Source organism: Homo sapiens, chromosome 7, assembly GCF_000001405.40.
Source record: "Homo sapiens chromosome 7, GRCh38.p14 Primary Assembly".
Lineage (NCBI taxonomy): Eukaryota > Metazoa > Chordata > Mammalia > Primates > Hominidae > Homo > Homo sapiens.
The window spans coordinates 29,507,006-29,533,682 of NC_000007.14; the positions used below are offsets into that span (position 1 = coordinate 29,507,006).

Consider the following 26,677-nt stretch of genomic DNA (forward strand, 5'->3'; position numbering starts at 1 on the left):
TGTTTTATCACCCGTTTGCCTGCACAAACCCTCAGACCCTACCTCCCTCTCACCAAACTCCTTTCTGTTGCCTCCTACACTTCAGTGTTACTAGAAGCCAAAAGAGTTAGCTGAGACTTGTCAGGGAGCATTCATCGCTGGATTTTTTTTTTTTTTCCTTTCTGTACATGCCTTGGTGAAATAAGGTCCTAATTAGGACTTGGATCACTGATTGTTTTTCAGATGGTGAAAAGGCCGATATATCTGCCAATGTCTATCCAGACATAAACATCATCACTGGAGCCCTTAAACTGTATTTCAGAGACTTACCCATCCCTGTCATCACATATGATACCTATTCCAAATTTATAGATGCAGCAAGTAAGTACTTCAAATTAATTTTTTATTTCTACCAAATTTTTAAGTACAGTGCTTTTGACCTTCAGATAATTAAAACTCAGAACTGTTTAAATTATTGCATTTGTGCCTGTCTTGTCAAGTGAGGGCACAACAATAAATAGCTGACCAGGCATAGTTCAACAGCTGAGCTGAACCAGTTCTAAGAACTCTGTGGGCTGATGTATGTGTCAGGCAGTTCTGTCCACATTGTTCCTTGTATGCTGGGAACCAACACAGTCAGGCCTATTATATGTTGAAAGCATGAATATTTCTGTAGCAGAAAAAAAAGTCTTCAATGAGGACTGACTAGATCATGGGTATCCAATCTTTTGTCTTCCCTGGACCACATTGGAAGAAGAATGATTGTCTTGGGCCACACATAAAATATACTAACATTAATGATAGCTTTAATGATAATTTTAAATAATTTTTAAAATAAATTATTTTAAAATCTTATAATGTTTTAAGGTTTACAAATTTGTGCTGGGCCATGTTCAAAGCTGTCCTGGGCATGTGCGGCCCATAGGCTGCGGGTTAGACAAGCTTGGTCTAGATTAACTACTTTTATCTGTTAGGCAGAATTTCATTCCTAGTCAGTTAAAGTCACAAGCAAGTTTTGTCTATTGATGCTGTTCAAAATGAATAGAGGGCCAGAATACACTGTGTCAAGCAGTATACTAGAACGTCTCACCAGTTTAATTCTCTCATGTACCCCATGTGGCAAATATTATAATCCCATTTTACAAAGAAGAAAAGCAAGGCTTGGAGAGCTGAGCTCATGCGTCCAGGAATGGGACATCAGGATTTGCTTTCCATCAGCCCGGGGTTGCTCATTCAGTGTTTGGCACTTGGGCCCACTGCTGAGGGAGAGAGGAATAGAGTGAAAAGGGGGCAGGTCTGGGGGAAGGGGCTACACTTTGCCCAGGAAGAGTCAAAAGTGACCAAAGGTAGATTCAGATGCTGAGACACATGACACGGAAGTCAAGCTCACTTTGAGGAAGTTTTTGCTTGTTGTTGTTGTTGTTGTTTTTATTTAAAAAAAAAAAAAAAACCTTTAAAGGTTGAAAAGTTTAGGCATGCTGTTAAATGTAGTAATGAGATGCCTGATGGGGAGACACAAAGGCAGGCTGGGATCAGTGTGAGATGCACTTTTCGGATGAGCTGAGGCCCTGACCCCGGTAAGACTATTCCCTCCTTCCGGGGCCCTAGTGGTCCTGGCAAAGAAGGTTCTAGCATCTAGATATCCTCTACTCCAGGAGGAATAGCAGGAGGGTTTTCTTTGAGTAGCTGCCAGTACCTATCAGAGACCCAAAAGCCAGAAGCATGTACTCTTCCTCCCATTGTTAATGTGTCCAGTCTCCACTTCCTAACCTGGGCTGTGCACCGGGGTTAAGTATGCCAACGCCACGGTGAGAAGTGCCATGAGTGCAGGCTGAGTTGGGTGGCTCATTGCCAATGTCCTTGCCTTGTAAAATGTATTAGGTTGTAGAAGTCCGCCAGGGAAAGACTCATTAGACAACTGCAAGGCAATACTACCGTATGTGGTGCAGTTTAAATTAAAACTTGTGAGAGGGATATTTCTAGCAAATCTAGTGTTCAGAAGAAGGCAAAGCATAGTCTGCACATATGCTCCCTGACTGTAAGCATTCTGCTGGTTTACAGATTCATGGAGGGCAAGGACAGTGTCCAGCCTCTGGCCACCCAGAGGACATTCAATAAGCATGTGGTGCTCAGCCTCAAACTCTTTCCTGAATGACACAGGACACCAACAAATTGATTAAGTGAAACAGTGCTTGGATTGCATGAATTTATTAGAATCCTTCCCCACTTCTGGCTAAAACAAAAACTTCTTGTTACTTCTCTGAAAACTTGAATGCCACACTCTGAACTAATACCCATCATGCGTGAACTTCACAGAAATCTCCAATGCAGATGAGAGGCTGGAAGCCGTCCATGAAGTGCTGATGCTGCTGCCTCCTGCCCACTATGAAACCCTCCGGTACCTAATGATCCACCTCAAAAAGTAAGCTCATGTCTCGTGCACAAAGCCTGCTCTGCTCCTAGAGCGGTTAATGCATGAGGAAAAGTGGACGGCATTCCTCCCCAGCCATAACTGCTGGAGTTTCACTGTGCCAGGAACCACTCCAGGCACTTTCAGTGTATCATCCCTATGAAAGGGGCGCCACTGTGATGGCTCACGCCTGTAATCCCAGCACTTTGGGAGGCCGAGGTGGGCGGATCATGAGGTCAGGAGATTGAGACCATCCTGGCTAACACGGTGAAACCCTGTCTCTACTAAAAATACAAAAAAATTAGCCGGGCGTGGTGGCAGCCGCCTGTAGTCCCAGCCACTTGGGAGGCTGAGGCAGGAGAATGGTGTGAACCCAGGAGGCAGAGCTGGCAGTGAGCCGAGATCGTGCCACTGCACTCCAGCCTGGGCAACAGAGCGAGACTCCATCTCAAAAAAAAAAAAAAAAGAAAAAGAAAGGGGTGCCATTAGGGGCCTTGTGTCACTTGTGAGATTGCTGATGCCTGGGGAGGTTACACAGCTGATTTGAAGAGGTGAAGGCAGGATCCCAGGCAGGCTGATGTACAGCCTTTAACTACTCTGCCTCCGTGTCTGCATCTTCATCTGACACAAGCCCTGTACTCTGTGTCCTGTTCATCCCCCTGTTGCTTGCCCCTTTCCAGGCTCCTGAGACTGCCTGCCTCCTGGGAGAGCACATTCCCAGCCTGGTCTCTTATTTTTCTGGATGTGTGAGTTCTCTCTCATTGAGTAACAAATTGCTCCCGAAACTTAGTGGCTTAAAACTGTAAACATTTATTATCTCATAGTTTCTAAGGGTCAGGAATCCAGGTGTGACTCAGCTGGCTGCCTCCAGTTCAAGGTCTGTAATGAGGCTGCAGTCTTATCTGAAGGCTTGATGGGTCTGTAATCCCAGCTACTTGGGAGGCTGAGACAGGAGAATTGCTTGAACCCGGGAGACGAAGGCTGCAGTGAGCGAAGATGGCACCACTGTACTCCATCCTGGGCAACAGAATGAGACGCTGTCTCAAGAACAAAAAAATTCACTCCTGAAGGCTTGATGGTGGTAGCATCCATCTCCAAGCCCACTCACATGGTTGTTGGCAGGATTCAGTTCCTTAAAGGCTGTTGGACTGAAGGCCTCACTCCCTCACCAGCAGTTTGCTGGAGGCAACCCTCAGTTCCTTGCCATGTGCATTTCTCCATAGGCAGCTCACAAAAAGCCAACAGGCTTCTCTCAGAACAAAAAAGCAAGAGCACCCAATATGAGAGACAGTCTTTTTGTAAGCTAATCTCAGAAGTGACATCCTATTGCTTTTACCGTGTTTTATCTGTTAGAAGCAAATCAAGTCCATCCCATACTTTAGGGGAAGGGATGCAGGGTATGAATTCCAGGAGGCATGGATCGCTGAGGTCCATCTCAGAGAGTACCTGCCACACACACAGCTGTCTGCGTGAGTGTGTGGGAGACAGAGATGGAGACGTCTGGATGTTTATGGGACACTAGAACCTCTGGTGACACTATTCTCCCTAAACCTTGTGTCTCTCTCTTTCACTGCACATGTGTAATGAGGTCGATGAATTGGTGTTATAACATTGGAGGGATCAGGGCACATCTGTGTGCCTCTGTGTTTTTGAAAGATACTTGGCAGCAGCCCATTCTTTGATAAAAATAAAATGAACCGAAAATTGTCTACATTGACCAGTTTACAGATCTACTTAGTATGTGAAAAGAAGCAAACGGAGGACTGTATAAACAGTAGGTATTGAGATTTTTATTTTTCTACCTTATAAGACATACAAGAAGACATACAATATTGTTGCTCAGATTCAGGGTGATGGTAACATTTAGCTCAGAATATTCCCATTCTGATTAATTTACTGAATTTAGGAGTGCAAGTAATTTTTAGATAATAAACTATGGGTATCACATCTGGCTTTCAATTAGCTGTAAAATACTTATTGTGATCAATATCCAGTTGTTACAGTTTGGAAGGCAAAGTACCACTACCAGAAAAATGCTGACACCTTTCAGCTGAACCTTAAATGCCAATAATACTGTATCTTTATCATAGTGGGTTTGCCAGCCATCTTGTTTAGTCAGGCATAGTGCCTGACTTAAGAGGAAACTGTGGGCACTTTGATGGTGAGAAACGTCCTCTTTCCAACCTTCTTCTTAGGCTTTGTGGCATGTACATGACACAAACTGGGTTGACCTTAAAATAATACTCAATGGCTAATCCTAATGAGTTATAAGGAAATAGAAAGGGATGGCTTTTTATGCACAACCTAAACACATTTTAATTATATTTTCCTAAACACATTTTAATTATATTTTGCTCATTTTTGGAGAACCCATTCCCTTTTACATCTATTATGAACATTCTAAAACTTAAAGTTGTGAAAACAAAACTCTGGGAGATAGATAGATTGTAATTTTATTCCATGAGGAAGGTGTTAAACCAGCTTTGCAGTTTGAATTTTATTCTTAAAGGCTCTGCAGTTCTTACCTGGATGTCGAAATGATTTTTAATTTCAACTGCTGTAGACCTCATCCTGTGGGAACTAGAAATAATGTCCAACTGCCGTCCAGTCTGGCGACATTCCAGCCGTTCCCCCACCCCACGATAACGGCCTGACTCTTCCTCAATTCATGACAGCCCATTCTACACATAACCTTTCTCCTCTGGCACCGGTCCTCCCAGCAGAGAGGGATCCTGCCCTTCCCTTCCCACTCTCCAGCATACAGACCAGCAGGAAGCCACAAGAGGGAAAAAAAAAACGCCTTCTGTATAAGGCCTATGAAAGGACCATGGGCCAGCCTCAGAATCTGCTGCCCCTACAAACCAGTATTCCTCAAATGATAGTTCCACATTTACTTAATAAGGAGGACTAATTTTCTAATTTTAAAAATTGTGTTCCTGCCAGATTCACATAAGTAATTCATTTCCACCGGCGAAGGCAATGTCAACAATTTAAAACGAAAAATCAGTAAATTACCCTTCCAAAAATACCTTTCTGCTGTTCTGATTCCCAATCTTTTTCTTGCAATTTCCTGAACCAGAGATGTTATCGGGACTTACATACATAATCAATACATAAAATCAATCCTCAAGTCTCCATAATGTCTCTGTTCTATATGTTTGTTTTGCAGGGTTACTATGAATGAAAAAGACAATTTCATGAATGCAGAAAATCTGGGGATCGTGTTTGGGCCCACTCTGATGAGGCCCCCTGAGGACAGCACCCTGACCACCCTGCATGATATGCGGTACCAAAAGCTGATTGTGCAGATTTTAATAGAAAACGAAGACGTTTTATTCTAATCCATCAGGGAAATGAGCTGAATGGCCCCAGCACCATCCAAGTTGACACAGCTAAAGGAATAAAAACATTTCTTACCACTTGATTTGTTTTCCAAGCAAGTGCTAGAATTTCCTGGACTGCAGAGGATCGCTGAGTGGGGTACTGTGTCTCATAGACATGCGCCACCTCCACGTGAGAACAAGGGTGAAGGTGAGGGAAGCCCCTCACCTTGGGTCTTTTGCTGTGCCTCCTATGTATGTCTGGTTTGCTGGAAGAGTGATTAATACATCTTTAATTTATTAAAAAACAATGTAGACCTTTAAACTTCAGTCTTATTGGTAATAAAAGGGAACTTAATTCATACAGGTACTTGATACAGTTATACATTTTCCACTTACAAAAAGAAGACAATTCTGTTAAATGAAACGTGTATCGTAAAATGTATTTTTATTTTACCCACGAGAATGTTGTTATTTTTAGCAAATAGAACTCAATGCAGTGCATTGGTTATTACCCTGTGTACCTTGTCCCTCATTTTGCTGTGACACCCTGAAAAAGCTGACCACAAATGCAGTATTATCTTGACATACCTCTGTCCTCCTCAGTGCTTTTTAATGAAATTTCACCTGCCCCTTGTGTTCCTGCTTTGGATAGTTTTTGCTCTTAAGCATTGGCATTCTTCTATTGTATGGTATGTATTTATAGCAATTGTAGGATGGTCTGAAATGTCCACACACTTTCTATGCATACAAATTTTGTGAATTCCCAAAGTATGCTTTGGAATTGGTCATAGTCTTTTCGTATCATGAGTGTGTATCCCAGAAGATACAGAATGCGGTCATTTTACCTGAAATTATTTGAGAACACTGGATGTATCTGGTCTGTGTAAAAAGTTAGCACTTACCCTCTTTTCTTCCTGGCCAAGCCCTCTGAATTCATCTGTTAATATCAAATTGTATTTTTGCCACATTTCTGTATTGGTGAAAAGCGAATCTGCAGAATAACTGTCAACGTTTTTCATTCTTGTTTTACAAACCTATTTTTTAAAGTGAGAATAAGGTTGGTTTTTACCAAATATTTGTTCCTCCTTGACAAAAGTAGCTCTGTGTGGATAATATGATTTTATTACTACAGTTCCAGTCACTTGGTTATATTTATCTTAGCATGAGCCTTTCACACCAAGATTTCTATATTTTGTAACATAGGTGAAATATTTAAAACATCAAAAACTGTAAATCTAGATTTTTAAAAAATCCAACTGCAATGTCTTTTCCTTTGATTGAGATGATTTGTGTAAACTCACCAGTCTTGCTTTGGAGTGAGCAGAAGAGAATGACTATTTTACGTGGAGCATCATTGTGTGACTGTTGACCTGGACAGTCCCAAGGGCTATGCAGATGGACTCCATTGGCACAGGGAGGTTTGACCTCTTCCCTGCTATTATCCCTCCTCCCAACTGTACAGATTTGTTTGTTGTAGTTTATGTACTTCTTGATACTGTCAAAAAATTATCTGGAAATGGTTTTATTTTGTGAAGTGAACAATACTTTGTAATTTATGATAGTGTAAATGGAAGGCAAAGCATCACATGTATTAAATTCTTCTGTCTATTATTCTGGAGTATGTGCAAGAAAGTGGTTTGGAGGGATGGGGTGGTGGATCATCAAAACATTGTTTCCAGATAGACGCTGGCAACAAATTTTCAGTCATCACTGAAACACAATGAGAAAACAGCATCTCATCGAGTCCCCACTCCTTCTGCAAGCTCCCTTCTAGAGAGCCTGCTTCAAGATTAAGGCCCTGAGGCTCCACATTCACTTTCCATAAGCCCCACTGCATGGATGCATCATCATACAGAGGTGAACCGTTTAGGGCAAATCACCCTAGGCCACTTGGAGGGTAGCAGAACAAGACTTTTAAAGTCAGAAAGCCCTGAGTTTGATCCCAGATCCATCCATTTAGTACTACCTGCATATAACCATGGGAAGTTTGCGGCTCTGAAAAACTGAAGATGATAATCTGATTGTGACACCTTAAATGAAATTTATGTTCTAGGGTAATTAGTAATAGTTATTTCTCATTATTACCATTTTAGAAGGGGAAAGGATATAACATGGAAGCAGGGATGGAAGAAGCATAAGAAAAGGATTTGTCACAGGTTCAATCCAAGTCCAAATAGCACTAAAGGATATAACAGGCCTCTATAATGGGTAATGAAGTTCACTTGACTCCTTTTCTCAAATGTGATTCCAACACTTGATCTCCTCTTCCTTTAGTCTGAAGCCAGCTCACCCACACCTGTCTTCCCCACCATCTGGCAGCCTGACATAGCTCCCCTTACCTGGCTTGAAATTCCTGCTGTTAGAATAACTCTGGTAGTTAGTTAGACCATCAAGGAGGCAGCACTGTTTCCAGAAACCCACTGTTAAATTGTCAACAACTGAGTTGTGGGAAGTGGGACAGGAGCAGGGTTGGTGGGAGAATGCAGTGGTGAGGATGGGAGGAGACCCCTTTTTCTTTCTTCCATTGACATAAATGGGCATTCCAGATGACCTGGTCTCCACAGCTTGGAAGGGCTGCTGCAGATGTCAAGGATAACAGCCTAGAAGGGAAGAGAGAGGAAGAGAGAAGGTTAAGGGAAGGACAGTGAAGAGAGCATCAGAAAGAAACATACCATATAGATGAAGGATTGCCTGGGCTGTCCTGGCTCCTGTGAAAACCCAACTCAGTTTATAAATTCCCAAGTTTATCAATATCCAGTGTATAATCAGTCTTTTATTTTAAAAATATAACATTAACTTTTAACCAGTATGTATCAAGCATTTATTAATGAGGTAGACACTGAATATTTGGAGGCAAGGAAAAGGCTTATCGCACTGGAAGAATTAAACAATAAAGTTAGTCTGGCTAGAGAGAGGAAACTGATCATGTTAAGGGTTTTGGACTCTTAAGGGGAATGGGTACTACATATTTGTCTCCAGACACAGAATGTAGGAGGTACCAGCCATCAGGGCCATTTCCAAGGTCGGTGCTGTCTTTCTGCTCCACCATCCTAGGATTATTGTTATTTCCCCTTGGGTTTTGGCTCACATAGTTACAAGGAGGCTACAAAGACCACCAAGTCAATGCCTTTCTCTTCTTGTGTGTCCCATTTAACAGTGAGGAAAACTTTCCTAGGAGTCCCCTGTATAGTAGACAGTGATACCTGACAGCAATTACTTAAGCATACCCTGAGAATGATGCTGTGTGGCAGACACGCCTGAATGTGTATTTGGACTTTCGAGGAACTGGGAGTGGCAAACCTGGAGATTACTTTCTCATCTATGAGGAACATCTGAGCCCCTGCCCTGTCCTATGGATCAAGACCCTTTGAGTTCAATGAAGGTTAACAGCTGGAGGTTGTTAGGGGAAGGGTGCTAAGTGAAAATGCTCTATAAACTGCATGCTTTTTACAAGCGGCAGCGGTTCTCCCGCCCAGCCTGCCACCGCTAGAACATGTAGTCCTCCTGTCCAGCCTGCTGTCACTGGACCATATGCTTCTCCTGTCCAGCCTGCCACCACTAGACCATGTGGTCCTCCTGTCTAGCCTGCTGCCACTGCACTGCTCTGTATGTAAGTTTCCCACTAATAACACTCTGTCTTATTTACTGGCTCTGGTTCTTCTTTGGCCTCTTGAACCTGGTGCCATCCCTACTGAAGTTAATAGGGGTCCTGAATGACATTCCCCAACATACAATCCCTTACATTGGCCAGAACTGCATTGCACACATGTGGCTAAACCAGTCACTAGCAAGGGGAATGAGATCACCAGGATTAGTTTAGATCAGTGGTTCACAACATGAGATCCCTTGATCAGCAACAGCATGAACTGGGACTTGTTAAAAAGGCAAATTCTCTTGCCTGACTCACTGAATCCAGGGGAAGCATTTTGCGATCTTTTTCTTTTTCTTTCTTTTTTTTTTTTTTTTTTAACAAGTCTTTCAGGTAATTCCATTGATTGAGCAATCAGGACTTACACCTGACCTGGGGTTGGAGCCAACTTACTCAAGGTGTTTGGATACCTGAAATGAACTAGGACTCATTAGCAAAGAAAGGGGCTTTGCGGCACTGTGAAGGTTGTTGAGATTCTCAGAAGTGGTAGAGAACTTTCCCCACCCATACACTCCTCCCTTCATGACCAAGATCTCCATGGGTCCCACCCCTATAACCGTATTACCAACTCTGTCTCTAATGTAACACTGTCTAAACTATAAGCTTCATGAGGACTGGAATCCGATCTGCTTTGCTCACCATCCTACCCATCCCTTACCCAGCACTGTGCTAGCACACAGTAGCCAACCCCAAACTTTTATAAATTAATGGCTTGTTCCTTCTACAAATACTGCACTCAAATGTCCCATTTTGGTGTGGTAGTGGAGGGGAATAATTCGAGAAGCAGATTCTGAAAATGCACAGTAACTCCTGTCTTTTGGAGCTGTGGCTAACATCTGAACTCTTTGGTTATTGAAGCTTTCTCCTTGACGTTCTCCTTAACTCGCTCTTCAGCATGTTCTTTCTCCTTTTCCCCAGAAGGAATGATTAAGCTTCAAAATAAGTCAGTTTGAAGAATCTGAAGATCTAAGTCTCTAGTTCAATTGCAGGTTACACAGATAATGGTAGATTTGGCTAGAATCTAGTGCAATGTAGACACGAGGAGGTCAGGTGCTGGGTCCAGACAGCCTCCGGTTAAATCATAGCTCCATCTCTTTCTAATAGTGTGACTTACGGAAAGTTAATTTGCTTTTTAGGTCTCAGTTTTCTTGTCATTAAAATGAACTAATACCAGTTCCTATTCCATGGAGGCTTAAGGTACTCTGTGGACAGCACTCAGCATATTTGGAGAACAAAGTAGGTAAGCAAATGCTTTTCTAAAATACGCAACAACTTGGGGAAATGTTTGAGAATGCTTAACCATTAGTATCCCTTCTTCACAGTGATAAGGCACCATCACTTACGGCTGTCTAGCAAATGAGAGAGTTTCATGAATGGTAACTATTACTACCCAATGAACTTTGGAAGTGAAGCCATTTGGAAGTCCAGCTCCAAATGATGGACAACAGTGAGTGTGCAGAAAGAACATGCTGAAGGGTGAGTTAAGGAGGCCTAGTTCCAAATGTTAATAGCCTTGATCTGTGACTGAGCCAGGTCTTGTGGCTCTAAAGCCCGTGTTCCTGTGGATGCATATCAAGTGTTCCTGTGGAGCACTGGCTTTAGAGCCACAAGACCTGGCTCAGTCACAGATCAAGGCCCCACTCACCAACCTCACAGGTCTATCACTGAGGCCAGATGACATGCAGCAGGTGTGGAGGCTCCTTCACAAACCCTCACACCCCTCGGTACATCCTGTCCCGCATCCTCTGCTCAGGCTCCTCTGCCCAAACATGCAAGTCCCTGATGCATCCTCCAAGGCTGCTTCTCACCCTACTTTCTCCCTAGCCAATCACATTCACTCTGGCTTTGAATGCTATCTGTCAACAAATCCAAATTATCCTCAAGATTCAGTTTGCTACCTAATGCACTGTGACAAATCCCTTCTGCTTAAACCAGCTAGCATGTGATCTGTTGCTCATGGCCAAGGTCCCTGATGAACATGCCAATCCCTCTGCCACTCAGCTCTTTAAAATCTTCACATCTGTCATACTTGCATGGCATTAAAACAATTTTAAAAATCAGAATAAAGGACTTGATCCCATTTATTCTTCCTCATTCCTTGGCACTTTTTATATTCTTACTGTGTATATTCAATCTATGCCATGTTTTATAGAAATGGTATCATACTCTATATTAACATTCTACAAATTATTTTTAATTCTCCTTATGTTTTTGAAATGTATCCATGTTGATACTCATAGACCTACTTCATTCATTTTAGCTGTCCTAAAATATTTTACTAAGTAATTTATCCCTCTGCTACTATTAGGTATTCAGTTTCCTTCTTTTCTATTGAAAACAGCATTTCCATGAATGTTTTTGTTGAAGTCTGCATGTGCTAGATTGGAATTGCTAGACTGTGAGGAATGCATATCAAAAGCTTTGCTAGATGCTCCCCAAAGTGACTGTGCCAATTTATACTCTCATCAGCAGTGTTTGAGAGTTCCTGTCTCTTTGTATCCTTATGAACACTTGGCATCACCCGACTTAAATATTTTGCTACTCTGTTGGCATAAAATGACATCTTTTTGTTTTAATTTGCATTTCTTTGATTACCACTAAAGTTCAGCATCTTTTCTGGTTTAATGGCCACTTAACTGTCTCTTCTATGAACTGGCTATTCATAACTTTTACCATTTCTCTACTGAGTTTTTTCTCTACATCTACTGATTTGTTGGAGTTCTTTATAAATTCCAAACTGTTTCTTAATCAATCATGTGCATTGTATATATCTTCTCCCAATATAAAGGATCAATTTTTTTATAGTTTATGCTTTATGTTTCTTATCCTGACCCTTAAATCATAAAGGTTTTTTTTATATGTTTTGTAAAAATATTCAAGTTATGCTTTTCACATTGATGTCTGAAATTTTGGTGCAAAAGGTAGGAATCTATTTTTTTCCATGTGAATACCAAACTATCTTAGTGCAGCTCTATTCAATAAATTATCTTAGTGCAATTTATTGAACAGAGCTGTGCTATCCAATACTGTAACTACTAGTCACATGTAAGCTTTTGAGCACTTGAAATGTGACTTGTCCAAATCCAGATGTACTGTGTGTATAATACATGCTGGATTTTCTTTTTTTTTTTTTTTTTTGAGACAGAGTTGTGGCCCATGCCTGTAATCCCAACACTTTGGAAGGCCAAGGCAGGTGCATCACCTGAGGTCAGGAGTTCGAGACCAGCCTGACCAACATGGAGAAACCCCGTCTCTACTAAAAATACAAAATTAGCCAGGTGTGGTGGCACATGCCTGTAATCCCAGCTACTCAGGAGGCTGAGGCAGGAGAATCACTTGAACCCAGGAGGCAGAGGTTGTGGTGAGCCGAGATCGTGCCATTGCACTCCAGCCTGGGCAACAAGAGGAATACATGCTGAGACTTGGTACAGAATATGTCAATAATTTAATACTGATTACATGTTTAAATAATATTCTGGATATTTGGTGTTAAAATATATTATTAAAATTTATTTCACCTGTTTCTTTTTACTTTTTGAAATGTGGCTACTGGAAAATTTTAAGTTACAAATAGGTAGAAATACAAATACATTGTATTTCTATTGCACAGCTCTAGAATAGACCATCCTTTCTCCCAAAGGGAGAGGGGTCTCCTAATTTGTCATAATGGAATTTCTTTAATTGCATAGGTCTGTTTCTGGACTCTCTTTTCTGATCTGTTAGTCATTTTATCTAGCTCTGTACCAATGCTACACTGTCTTTTAATTTTTATTACTTTATAATAAGTATTAAGATCTTATTCCCATTCTTGTTCCTCTTCTTCAAAATTGTCTTCGTTCTTATGTTTCACTCTCACATATGAATTCTAGGACCACCTAGTCTAGTCTTTCCTATCATGACATCCTAAGAAAACCTACTAGGATTTTGATAAGAATGGCATTTGATTTCTATTTTTAGAAAGAATAGACATCTCCCTTCACAAATATAATACAGCTCTCCTTTAATTTGGGTGTTTATGCCCTTCAATAAGATTTTATAATTTTCTACACAAAGTGTATGCCCATATTTTATAATATTTATTCCTAGATACTTTATAGTTTGTGTTGCTATTGTGAATAGATTGTTTCTCATATGCTTTATAATGGGTTATTACAAATATTAGGAACACTGCTTATTTATATAAATCTTATCTCTAACAACCTTGCTGAACTCTATTAGTTCTAAATAATCTTCTTGGGCTTTTTGTATAATCATATTGCCTGCAAATATGGACAACTTTGTCCCTTTCCAATTCTCATACTTGTTAAATATTTTATCTTTTTAACTGACCCATACTAATTGTACATATTTATGGGGTACACAGTGATGTTTCAATATGTACAAAATATAGTGATCAACAGACCCACAGCTAGTATCACACTGAATGGGGAAAAACTAAAAGCCTTTCCTCTAAGATCTGGAACACAATAGGGATGCCCACTGTCACCATTGTTATTCAACATAGTACTAGAAGTCCCAGCTAGAGCAATCAAACAAGAGAAGGAAATAAAGGGCATCCAAATTGAAAAGTAAGAAGTCAAATTATCTTTATTTGTTGATGATATGATCTTATATTTGGAAAAACCTAAAGACTCCACAAGAAATCTATTAGAACTGATATATTCAGTAAAGTTGACAATAGCTAATATTTGGAAGCAACCTAATTGCCCATCAACGATGAATTGATAAAGAAAATGTGGTACATACACACAGTGGAATATTATTCAGTCATAAAAAAGAATGAGATCCAGTCATTTGAAACAACATGGATGGAACTGAAGATCATCGTACTAAGTAAAATAAGCCAGGCACAGAAAGACAAACCACATGGTCTCACTTTTTTGTGGGATCTAAAAATCAAATCAATTGAACTCATGGACACAGAGAGTAGAAGGATGGTTACCAGAAGCTGGGAAGGGTACTGGGGGACTGGAGAGGTAGGGATAGTTAATGGGTACCAAAAAAAGAAAGAATGAATAAGACCTACTATTGGATAGCACAATAGCATGATTATAGTCAATAACTTACTTGTATATTTTTAAATAACTTAAAGAATGTAATTGGATTGTCTGTAACTCAAAGGATAAATACCTGAGGGGATGGATACCCCATTCTCTATGATGTGCTTATTTCACATTGCATGCCTGTATCAAAATATCTCTTTGCTGTTGAGATGTTAGGGTTCCTTATATATTCTGGATATTAATCCCCTGTTGGATGAACAGTTTACAAATATTTTCTCCCATTCTGTAGGTTGTCATACACTCGTTGACTGTTTCCTTTGCTGTACAGAAGCTTTTTAATGGACATAATCCCATTTGTTTTTGTTTTTGTTGCCTGTGCTTTTGATGTCTTACTCATAAAATATTTCCCAGAACAATATCCTGAAGAATTTCCCCATGTTTTCTTCTAGTAGTTTTATAGTTTTGGATCTTACATTTAGGTCTTTAATCTAGTTCGAGTTAATTTTGTATATGGCAAGAGGTGGGGGTCTAGTTTCATTCATCTGTATATGGATATCCAGTTTTACCAGCACCATTTGTTGGAGACACTATTCTTCCCCCAAGGAATGTTCTTAGCACCTTTGTCAAAAATCAGTTTGCTATAGATATGTCCATTAATCTCTGGGTTCTCTGTTCTGTTCTGTTGGTCTATGTGTCTTTTATGCCAGTACCATGCTATTTTGATTACTATAGCTTTGTAGTATATTTTTAAGTCTGGTAGTGTGATACCACCAGCTTTGTTCTTTTTACTCAGAATTACTTTAACTATTCCCCAAATAAAAGATCTAGAGTAACTGAATGGATTAAAAAACATGACCTAAATATATGCTGCCTATAAGAAATACACCTGTAAAGACACACATAGACTGAAAGTGAAGGGATGGGAAAACATATTATACACAAACAGAAACCAAAAGTGAGCAGGAGTAGCTATACTTAGATAAAATAGACTTTAAGCCAAAAGCTATTAAAAAAGCAAAAAAGGATATTATATAATAATAAAGGGATCAATTCGGCAAGAAATATAACAATTGAAAGTATATATACACCCAATACTGGAGCACCCAGGCATATAAAGCAAATATTATTAGATCTAAAAGGAGAGAAAGACCCCAGTATAATAATAGCTGGGGACTTCAACACCCCACTCTCAGCACTGCACAGATAAGCTAGGCAGAAAATTGGCAAAGAAACATCGGAATTAAACTGCACCACAGAACAAATGGACCTAAGAACATTTCATCCAACAACTGCAGAATACACATTCCTTTTATCAGCACATGAAACATTCTGTAAGACTGACCATATGTTAGGACACAAAAGAAGTCTCAATAAATTTTTAAAAGTTGAAATAATATCAAATATCTGATGACAACAGAATAAAATTAGAACTCAATAACAAGGAAACATTTGAAACTATACAAATAAGTGAAAATTAAACATGCTCCTGAGCAACCAATGGGTTAAGAAATTGGGAAGGAAATTTAAAAATTTCTTGAAACAAATAGAAATACAATATACCAAAACCTATGGGACACAGCAAAAGCAGTATTAAGAGGCAAGTTTATAGCAATAAATAACTACATCAAAAAAAAGTAGAAAGACTTCAAACAAATAAATTACACATCTCAAGGAACTAGCAAACAAGAACAAAGTGAACCCAAAATTAGAAGGAAAGAACTAATAATGATCAGAGGATAAATAAATGGCATTGAGACTAAAAAAATACAAAAGATCAATGAAACAAAAAGTTGGTTTCTTGAAAAATGAAATCAACAAACTATTAGCTAGACTAACAAAGAAAAAAAGAGAGAAGACACAAATAAATAAAATCAGAAATGAAAAAGGAGATGTCACAATGGATACCACAGAAATACAAGGATCATTAGAGATGATTATGAACAACTATATACTAATAAATTTGAAAAGCTAGAAGAAGTAGGAAAAATCCTAGACAATACAACCTACGAAGAGTGAACCAAGAAGAAATAGAAAACCTGAATAGACCAATAACAAGTAATGAGATTGAATCAGTAATAAAAATTGTCCCAACAAATAAAAGCCCAGGACCACATGACTTCACTGCTGAATTCTACCAAGATTTTTAAAAAGAATAAAAAATCTTCTCAAACTGTTCCAAAAAAGTTGAAGAGGAGGGAATTCTCCCTAACTCATTCTATAAGACCAGCATAACCGTGATAACAAAACCGGACAGGGACACAACAAAAAATTTATAGGCCAATATCCCTGATGAGCATAGATGCAAAAATCTTCAACGAAATACTAGCAAACAGAATCCAACAACACATAAAAAAGATAATACATCATGATCAAGTGGGATTTATCCTAGGGATGCAAGGATGGTTCAACAAACACAAATTAATAAATATGGTACATCACATCAACAGAAAGGACAAAAACCATACGATCATCTCAATAAATGCAGAAAAAGCATCTGATAAAATTCAACATTCCTTCATGATGAAAACTCTCAATAAAAAGGAAGTACTTCAACACAATAATGGTCAGAGATGACAGATTTACAGCTAACAACATACTCAATGGGGGAAAGTGGAAAGCTTTTTCTCTAAGACCTGGAACAAGACAAGATGCCCACTCTCACCACTCTTATTTAATACAGTACTGGCAGTCCTATCCAGAGCCATGGGCAAGAGAAAGAAAAGGCATACGAACTGGAGTGGAGGAAGTCAAAATGTCTCTGTGGATGACATGATCTTGTGCACTGTAAAACCTAAACACTCTACCAAAAATCTCTTAGAACTGATAAGTAAATTCAGTAATGTTGCAGGATACAAATTAACTTATAAAAATCAGTAGCCTTTCTATACACAAAAGACAAACTAGCTAAAAAAAAAATCAAGAAGAAAATTCTATTTATGATAGCTACAAAAAAGTAAAATACATAGAAATAAATTTAACCAAGGAGGGAGAAGATCTCTACAAGGAAAGATACAAAACACTGATGAAATAAATCCAAGAGGATACAAACAAATGGCAATACATCTCATGGTCATGAATTAGAATAATTAATATTGTTAAAATGACCATACTGCCCAAAGCAATCTACAGATTATATGCAATCCCTATCAGAATACCAGTGACATTCTTCACAGAAATTTTTAAAAATCCTAAAATTCATATGGAACCAATTCTCATACTTTTTATTTCTTCTCTTCTTAATATAGTGGCTAGGACCGCTAGAGATGAAAGCAGCCATCCTCACCTTGTTTCTGACTTTAATGAGAATATAGCTAAAGTTTCGCCATTAAACGTGATGTTTGTTGTAATTTCTACACTAATGATTCTCAAACATGGTGTATGTCAGAATCACTTCAAGAACTAAAAGGAACACAGATGCCAGGTTTGTTGAAAAAAGAAAGGGCCTGGACCTTTGTATTTTTACCAAGCTTCTCAGGTGATTCTGTTACCCACCAAAGAAAGTTCCCTTCTAGTTCTAAAGAAATAATCTTTTTAAAAAAGCACACATGGGTGGTGTTTTATTAAATGGTTTTTTTCCTGAAATCTCTTAAGATGATCTTTAGGTCCTATTTTCTCTTTTACCCTGTTAAGCTGGTATGTTACATAAATAGATTTCTTAATGTTAAGCCACCATTGTGCTCCTAGGAAATTTTTAACCTGGTCACATGTAGTATTTTTTTAATACGCTGCTTTAATTTCTAGTGTGTTCTTCCTTTCTTTCCCTTCCTTTCTTTTTATCTTCCTTTCTTTCATTTTTTAGAATTTACATCAAGCTACACATGGGAAAATGGCCTATAACTGTCTCTGAATAGCATCTATTCCATTTTTTCTCTCATAAGAGGAGTTGTACAGCTTTCTCTATTGTTCTTTTCTCTGAAACAGCTTTAATAAAATTGGTAAATTAGAATTAAGTTCAGCTGGAAATGGCAGAAAACCCAAATTGCAATAGATAAAACAAAATGGAAGTTGACGTCTCGCTCATATCAAATCCAGGTGGGTGGTGTTGGTCTGATACGGCAGCTGCATACTCATCAGGGACCCAGGCTCCTTCTGTCTGCTTGTTTGTTGCCCTGGAGATCTCCCACCTGTGGTTGCCTCACACAGCACTGCCTTCTCCTACAGGCTTCATGAAACCATCTTCACAACCCTGGCTTCCAAAAAACATGACCCTTGCCTACCACAACCAACATCTTTCTCTGCTAGAATTGCTGGACCTAGATTGGGTCCCTTTCACATCTAAGCAATCACCAGGTTCCACTTGGCCCACAGTAATGCATACACCTCTACCACACCATTGGTAGAGGGCAGCTCACTCCACCGCAGCCCTCTCTACTCACCCTACTAGTGTTGGGTAGCCCTTTACCTTTAACTCTTCTGGGCATGAGTCAGGTATCTCTGACTCCTTCCCTTCTCTTGCACACTATATGCAAAGCATCAGCAAAGCTTCTTGGCTTTACTTCAGAATATCTTCACAATCTTACCACCTGCCCCATCTCCACTGCCACTACTCTGGTCCAAGTCACCACTGTCTCTCACTGGACACCTGTAACAGCCTCCTAACTCAGCTCCTTGCTTCTGCTCTTGCCTCTCTCCAACCCCACATCCCACCCCTAAGAGTCTATCCCAGCACAGCGAGTAGAGGGATCCTGTTAAAAGCTATCGTAAATGTCACTGCTATGCCTAAAACTCTCCACTGGTTTCCCATCTTACTCAGAATAAGTCAATGTCTTTACAGTGGATGCCCCAGGCCTATGTACATGACTTCTCTAGATCTCCATAAATTCCCCCCACCTCCTCTCATACTACTATGGCCTCGGCTCACTGTATTCCAGACCTGCTCAGGCCCTTTTGCTGTTCCTTCAACATGCAAGGCACACTCGAGTCCTGGGGGAGTTGGCCATTGCTGTTCCTTTTGCCTGGAATGCTCTTTCACCATTTATCTGAGTGGCTACTTCTCTTTCCCTCTTCAGGTCTGTGGAACTAAAGCTTGGACACACAGCAACATGCATCACCCAGTGCAGGCTAGAATTCATAGTGAAAGGGATCAGCAAAAACAGGGTCTCCTTCTCTGCATACCCAGTAGAGACGCATCCTAGGCAGAGGCCCAGATGGATACACCACTGGAGTTGGCTGCAGGACATGGACCTTCCCTGGGTTGCTCTCCTTTTTATAAGGCAAAGGTGAGAGTGGCTTTGCAGGAGAGAAATAAAAATTTTAGACCCAGGTGCCAAGTATTCTAAGCTTGGTTGCCACATGCTCAAGGAAAGTTCTACAAAATGCCAGCTTGCCCAGCACTTATAATTCTTAGAGGCTCCTGATCCAGTGAGAAGCTGAGTCCAAGCACAGTCCCTCCCAATATGAGAAAGAGAGGGAGCCCTGGAGTCATCACTAGACAATTCTGTTTATTCCACTGGGGGTTGTTTGGAGTTTTTTTAACTTCATCGTTTGAAATAATTCAAACTTGGAAAAATGGTACAGAGTCCAGAGTAACCTTCACCCTGCTTCCCCAGTGGTGACATTTTGCATAATTATAGTACATTATCAACACCAGGAAATTGACCAGTTCACAAGACTATAGACCTTACTCAGTTTTCACAAGGCCTTAAACCTATACCCACGTGTGTGTGTGTGTGTGTGTGTGTGTGTGTGTGTGTGTGTGTAGTTTTATGCAATTTCATCAAATGTATAGATTTATTCATCTACTACCACAATCAAGATATAATCTGTCCAGGCATTCTGGCTCACACCTCCAATCTCAGTGCTTTAGGAGGAGGCCAAGGCAGGAGGATCGCTTGAGCCCAGGAGTTAGAGACCAGCCTGGGCAACAGCAAGACCCCATCTCTACCAAAAAAAAAAAAAAAAAAAAAAAAAAAAGAAGTCAGGCATGGTAGTGCACACCTGTAGTCCCAGCTACTCAGGGGGCTGAGGTGGGAGGATCACTTGAGTCCAGGAGTTTGATGATGCAGTGAGCTATGATTATGCCACTGCACTCTAGCCTCAATGTGGCACTGATTATCACAGGTGAGTTGATCGCTGGGGTCATGAGCCATGATCCAAGAAGCATGGCGTCGCCAAAGGTCAGCCTTAGGGTCATGAGTGCTTCCTCATGGAGCCAACCTGAATCCCGACCAGAGATGGGTTCTCTAGGAGGGATGCTCCTAGGAAATCTGGATCCTATGCATATAAAATCTATCACAACAACAGCACTCCTTCCTGCTCCCTCTTTGTATTCATATCCACCCACTGCTGTGCTCCCCATCCCTGTCCCCTAGCAACCACTAACATCTGTTCTCCAGACCTACAACTTTGTCATTTTGAGAATATTATATAAACAGATTCAAACACTATGAAACCTCTCGAGACTGGCTGTTTTTCACTCAGCATAATTTTCTGGATATTCAGTCAAGCTGTGGCTTGCATCTAGAGTCTGTTCCTTTTTTATTGCTGAGACGTACTTCCCAGGATGGCAATATGACAGTTTGTTTCATCATCCCTTCACTGAAGGACATCAGGATTGTTTCCAGTTTGGGGATATAATGAATAAAGGGACTATGAACATTCATGTACAGGTTTGTGTGTGCATCTCTGTATTAATCTGTTCTCACACTGCTATAAAGAAATACCTGAGATTGGGTAATTTATAAAGAAAAGAGGTTTAATTGGCTTACGGTTCCACAGGCTGTACAGAAAGCATGGCTTGGAAGGCCTCAGGAAACTTACAATCATGGCAGAAGGCAAAGGGGAAACAAGCATGTCTTACTCAGCCAGGTCAGGAGGTGGAGAAAGGAGGAGAGGTGCTATACACTTTTAAAAAGCCAGATCTTTTCCTCCTCCATTCCAAGATGGCCGAATAGAAACAGCTCCAGACTGCAGCTCCCAGTGTGATCAACGCAGAAGACACTGATTTCTGCATTTTCAATGGAGGTACCTGGTTCTCGTTGGGACTGGTTGGACAGTGGGTTCAGCCCACGGAGGGCAAGCCAAAGCAGGGCAGGGCATCACCTCACCCGGGAAACACAACGGGTTGCAGGATTTCCCTTTCCTAGCCAAGGGAAGCCGTGACAGACTGTACCTGGAAAATGGGGACATTCCCACCCAAATACTGCGCTTTTCCAATGGTCTTAGCAAATGGCACACCAGGAGATAATATCCTGTGCCTGGCTTGGCGGGTCCCACACCCATGAAGCCTTGCTCACTGCTAGTGCAGCAGTCTGAGATCAACCTGCGAGGCAGCACCCAGGCAGGGGGAGGGGCGTCCACCATTGCTGAGGCTTGAGTAGGTAAACAAAGCAGCCAGGGAAGCTTCACCTGGGCGGAGCTCACCGCAGCTCTGCAAGGCCTGCTGCCTCTGTAGACCCAACCTCTGGGGGCAGGGCATAGCTGAACAAAAGGCAGCAGAAACTTCTACCGACTTAAACGTCCCTGTCTGACAGCTCTGAAGAAAGTGGTTCTCCCAGCATGGCATTTGAGCAGACCTGCAGCTGAGGGACCTGACTCTTAGAAGGAAAACTAACAAACAGACACGAATAGCATGAACATCAACAAAAAGGACATCTACACCAAAATCCCATCTGTAGGTCACCAGCATCAAAGACCAAAGGTAGATAAAACCATGAAGATGGGGAGAAACCAGAGCAGAAAAGCTGAAAATTCTAAAAACCAGAGTGCCTCTTCTCCTCCAAAAGATCTCAGCTCCTCGCCAGCAACAGAACAAAGCTGGATGGGGAGTGACTTTGATGAGCTGACAGAAGTAGGTTTCAGAAGATCGATAATAACAAACTTCTCTGAGCTAAAGAAGGATGTTAGAACCCATTGCAAGGAAGCTAAAAACCTTGAAAAAAGATTAGACAAATGGCTAACTAGAATAAACAGTGTAGAAAAGACCTTAAATGACCTGATGGAGCTGAAAACCATGGCACGAGAACTACATGACATATGCACAAGCTTCAATAGCCGATTCAATCAAATGGAAGAAAGGGTATCAGTGATTGAAGATCAAATTAATCAAATAAAGCTAGAGGAGAAGTTTAGAGAAAACAGAGTAAAAAGAAATGAACAAAGCCTCCAAGAAATATGGGACTATGTGAAAAGACCAAATCTAGGTTTGATTGGTGTACCTGAAGGTGATGGGGAGAATGGAGCTAAGTTGGAAAACACTCTTCAGGATATTATCCAGGCGAACTTCCCCAACCTAGCGAGGCAGGCCAACATTTAAACTCAGGAAAGACAGAGACCACCACAAAGATACTCCTCGAGAAGAGCAACCCCAAGACACATAACTGTCAGATTTGCCAAGGTTGAAATGAAGGAAAACGTGTTAAGGACAGCCAGAGAGAAAGGTCGGGTTACCCACAAAGAGAAGCCCATCAGACTAACAGCGGATCTCTCAGTAGAAACTCTACAAGCCAGAAGAGAGTGGGGGCCAATATTCAACATTCTTTTTTTTTCTATATTTTTCTTTTTTTTAATTATTATTATACTTTAAGTTTTAGGGTACATGTGCACAATGTGCAGGTTAGTTACATATGTATACATGTGCCATGCTGGGATGCTGCACCCATTAACTCGTCATTTAGCATTAGGTATATCTCCTAATGCTATCCCTCCCCCATCCCCCTACCCAACAACAGTCCCCAGAGTGTGATGTTCCCCTTCCTGTGTCCATGTGTTCTCATTGTTCAATTCCCATCTATGAGTGCAATAGCAAAGACCCAAATGTCCAACAATGATAGACTGGATTAAGAAAATGTGGCACATATACACCATGGAATATTATGCAGCCATAAAAAATGATGAGTTCATGTCCTTTGTAGGGACATGGATGAAATTGGAAATCATCATTCTCAGTAAACATTCTTAAAGAAAAGAATTTTCAACCCAGAATTTCATATCCAGCCAAACTAAGCTTCATAAGTGAAGGAGAAATAAAATCCCTTACAGACAAGCAAATGCTGAGAGATTTTGTCACCACCAGGCCTGCCTTACAAGAGCTCCTGAAGGAAGCATTAAGCATGGAAAGGAACAACCAGTATCAGCCACTGCAAAAACATGCCAAACTGTAAAGACTGTCAATGCTAGGAAGAAACTGCATCAACTAATGGGCAAAATAACCAGCTAACATCATAATGACAGGATCAAATTCACACATAACAATATTAACCTTAAATGTAAATGGGCTAAATGCCCAATTAAAAGACACAGACTGGCAAATTGGATAAAGAGTCAAGATCCATTAGTGCGCTGTATTCAGGAGACACATCTCACGTGCAGAGACACACATAGGCTCAAAATAAAGGGATGGAGGAAGATCTACCAAGCAAATGGAAAGCAAAAAAGAAGCAGGGGTTGCAACCCTAGTCTCTGATAAAACAGATTTTAAACCAACAAAGATCAAAACAGACAAAGAAGGTCATTACATAATGGTAAAGGGATCAATTCAACAAGAGCTAACTATCCTAAATATATATGCACCTAATACAGCAGCACCCAGATTCATAAAGCAAGTCCTTAGAGACCTACAAAGAAACTTAGACTCCCACGTAATAACAAAGGCAGACTTTAACACCCCACTGTCAATATTAGACAGATCAATGAGACAGAAGGTTAATGAGGATATCCAGGACCTGAACTCAGCTCTGCAACCAAGCAGACCTAATAGACATCTACAGAGCTCACCACCCCAAATCAACAGAATATACATTCTTCTCAGCACCACATCTCACTTATTCCAAAATTGACCACATAGTTGGAAGTAAAGCAATCCTTAGAAAATATAAAAGAACAGAAATCGCAACAAACTGTCTCTCAGACCACAGTGCAATCAAATTAGAACTCAGGATTAAGAAACTGACTCAAAACCACACAACTACATGGAAACTGAACAACCTGCTCCTGAATGACTACTGGGTACATAATGAAATGAAGGCAGAAATAAAGATCTTCTTTGAAACCAATGAGAAAAAACATACAACATACCAGAATCTCTGGGACACATTCAAAGCAGTGTGAATAGAGGGAAATTTATAGCACTAAATGCCCACAAGAGAAAGCAGGAAAGGTCCAAAATTGACACCCTAACATCACAATTAAAAGAACTAGAGAAGCAAGGGCAAACAAATTCAAAAGCTAGCAGAAGGCCAGAAATAACTAAGATCAGAGCAGAACTGAAGGAGATACAGACACAAAAAACTCTAAAAAAATCAATAAATCCAGGAGCTGGTTTTTTGAAAAGATCAACAAAATTGATAGACAACTAACAAGACTAATAAAGAAGAAAAAAGAGAAGAATCAAATAGACGCAATAAAAAATGATAAAGGGGATATCACCACCGATCCCACAAAAATACAAACTACCATCAGAGAATACTATAAACACCTCTATGCAAATAAACTAGAAAATCTAGAAGAAATGGATAAAGTCCTGGACACATACACTCTCCCAAGACTAAACCAGGAAGAAGTTGAATCCCTGAATAGACCAATAACAGGCTCTGAAGTTGAGGCAATAATTAATAGCCTACCAATCAAAAAAAGTCCAGGACCAGACAGATTCACAGCCTAATTCTACCAGAGGTACAAAGAGGAGCTGGTACCATTCCGTCTGAAACTATCCCAATCAATAGAAAAAGAGGGAATCCTCCCTAACTCATTTTATAAGGCCAGCATCATCCTGATACCAAAGCCGGGCAGAGACACAACAAAAAAAGAGAATTTTAGACCAATATCTCTGATGAACATCGAAGCGAAAATCCTCAATAAAATACGGGCAAGCCGAATCCAGCAGCACATCAAAAAGCTTATCCACTATGATCAAGTCGGCTTCATCCCTGGGATGCAAGGCTGGTTCAACATACGCAAATCAATAAACGTAATCCATCACATAAACAGAACCAATGACAAAAACCACATGATTATCTCAATAGATGCAGAAAAGGCCTTCAACAAAATTAAGCAGCCATTCATGCTAAAAACTCTTAATAAACTAGGTATTGATGGAACGTATCTCAAAATAATAAGAGCTATTTATGACAAACCCACAGCCAATATCATACTGAATGGGCAAAAACTGGAAGCATTCCCTTTGAAAACTGGCACAAGACAGGGATGCCCTCTCTCACCACTCCTATTCAACATAGTGTTGGAAGTTCTGGCCAGGGCAATCAGGCAAGAGAAAGAAATAAAGGGTATTCAATTAGGAAAAGAGGAAGCCAAATTGTCCCTGTTTGCAGATGACATGATTGTATATTTAGAAAACCCCATTGTCTCAGCCCAAAATCTCCTTAAGCTGATAAGCAACTTCAGCAAAGTCTCAGGATACAAAATCAATGTGCAAAAATCACAAGCATTCCTATACACCAATAACAGACAAACAGAGAGCAAAATCATGAGGAACTCCTATTCACAATTGCTACAAAGAGAATAAAATACCTAGGAATCCAACTAACAAGGGATATGAAGGACCTCTTCAAGGAGAACTACAAACCACTGCTCAACAAAATAAAAGAGGACACAAACAAATGGAAGAACATTCCATGCTCATGGGTAGGAAGAATCAGTCTCATGAAAATGGCCATACTGCCCAAGGTAATTTATAGATTCAATGCCAACCCCATCAAGCTACCAATGACTTTCTTCACAGAACTAGAAAAAACTAAAGTGCACATGGAACCAAAAAAGAGCCTGCATTGCCAAGACAATCCTAAGCCAAAAGAACAAAGCTGGAGGCATCACACTACCTGACTTCAAGCTATACTGCAAGGCTACAGTAACCAAAACAGCATGGTACTGGTACCAAAACAGAGAGATAGACCAACGGAACAGAACAGAGCCCTTAGAAATAACACCATACATCTACAACCATCTGATCTTTGACAAACCTGACAAAAACAAGAAATGGGGAAAGGATTCCCTATTTAATAAACGGTGCTGGGAAAACTGGCTAGTCATATGTAGAAATCTGAAACTGGATCCCTTCCTTACACCTCATACAAAAATTAATTCAAGATGGATTAAGACTTAAATGTTAGACCTAAAACCATAAAAACCCTAGAAAAAAACCTAGGCAATACCATTCAGGAGATAGGCATGCGCAAGGACTTCATAACTAAAACACCAAAAGCAATGGCAACAAAAGCCAAAATAGACAAATGGGATCTAATTAAACTAAAGAGCTTCTGCACAGCAAAAGAAACTACCATCAGAGTGAACAGGCAACCTACAGAATAGGAGAAAACTTTTGCAATCTACCCATCTGACAAAGGGCTAATTCCAGAAT

At 40.3% G+C, this 26,677-nt stretch overlaps 1 protein-coding gene and 1 long non-coding RNA gene across 28 annotated transcripts in view; one reads left to right on the plus strand and one right to left on the minus strand.

Moving 5' to 3' along the window:
- The window catches only part of CHN2 (chimerin 2), a 367,738-nt gene extending 360,415 nt beyond the window's left edge, over positions 1-7,323 (plus strand). For 18 of the 24 annotated variants that reach the window (NR_120525.2, XM_011515105.3, XM_011515106.3 and 15 more), the window contains 3 exons: positions 223-360; positions 2,296-2,401; positions 5,559-7,323. Coding sequence is in view for 22 of the 24 variants with exons in the window: in XM_011515105.3 (XP_011513407.2) it covers positions 223-360; positions 2,296-2,401; positions 5,559-5,730 (416 nt within the window). In the remaining 2 variants the exon portion in view is untranslated. The remainder of the gene's footprint in view (positions 1-222; positions 361-2,295; positions 2,402-5,558) is intronic. The other 6 variants (NM_001293080.2, NM_001293077.2, NM_001293078.2 and 3 more) reach the window with 2 other exon arrangements.
- Positions 3,180-26,677, minus strand: part of PRR15-DT (PRR15 divergent transcript) — a 53,507-nt gene continuing 30,009 nt past the window's right edge. For all 4 annotated transcript variants that reach the window (NR_183549.1, NR_183548.1, NR_183550.1 and 1 more), the window contains one exon: positions 3,180-8,312. This is a non-coding gene — a long non-coding RNA (PRR15 divergent transcript). The remainder of the gene's footprint in view (positions 8,313-26,677) is intronic.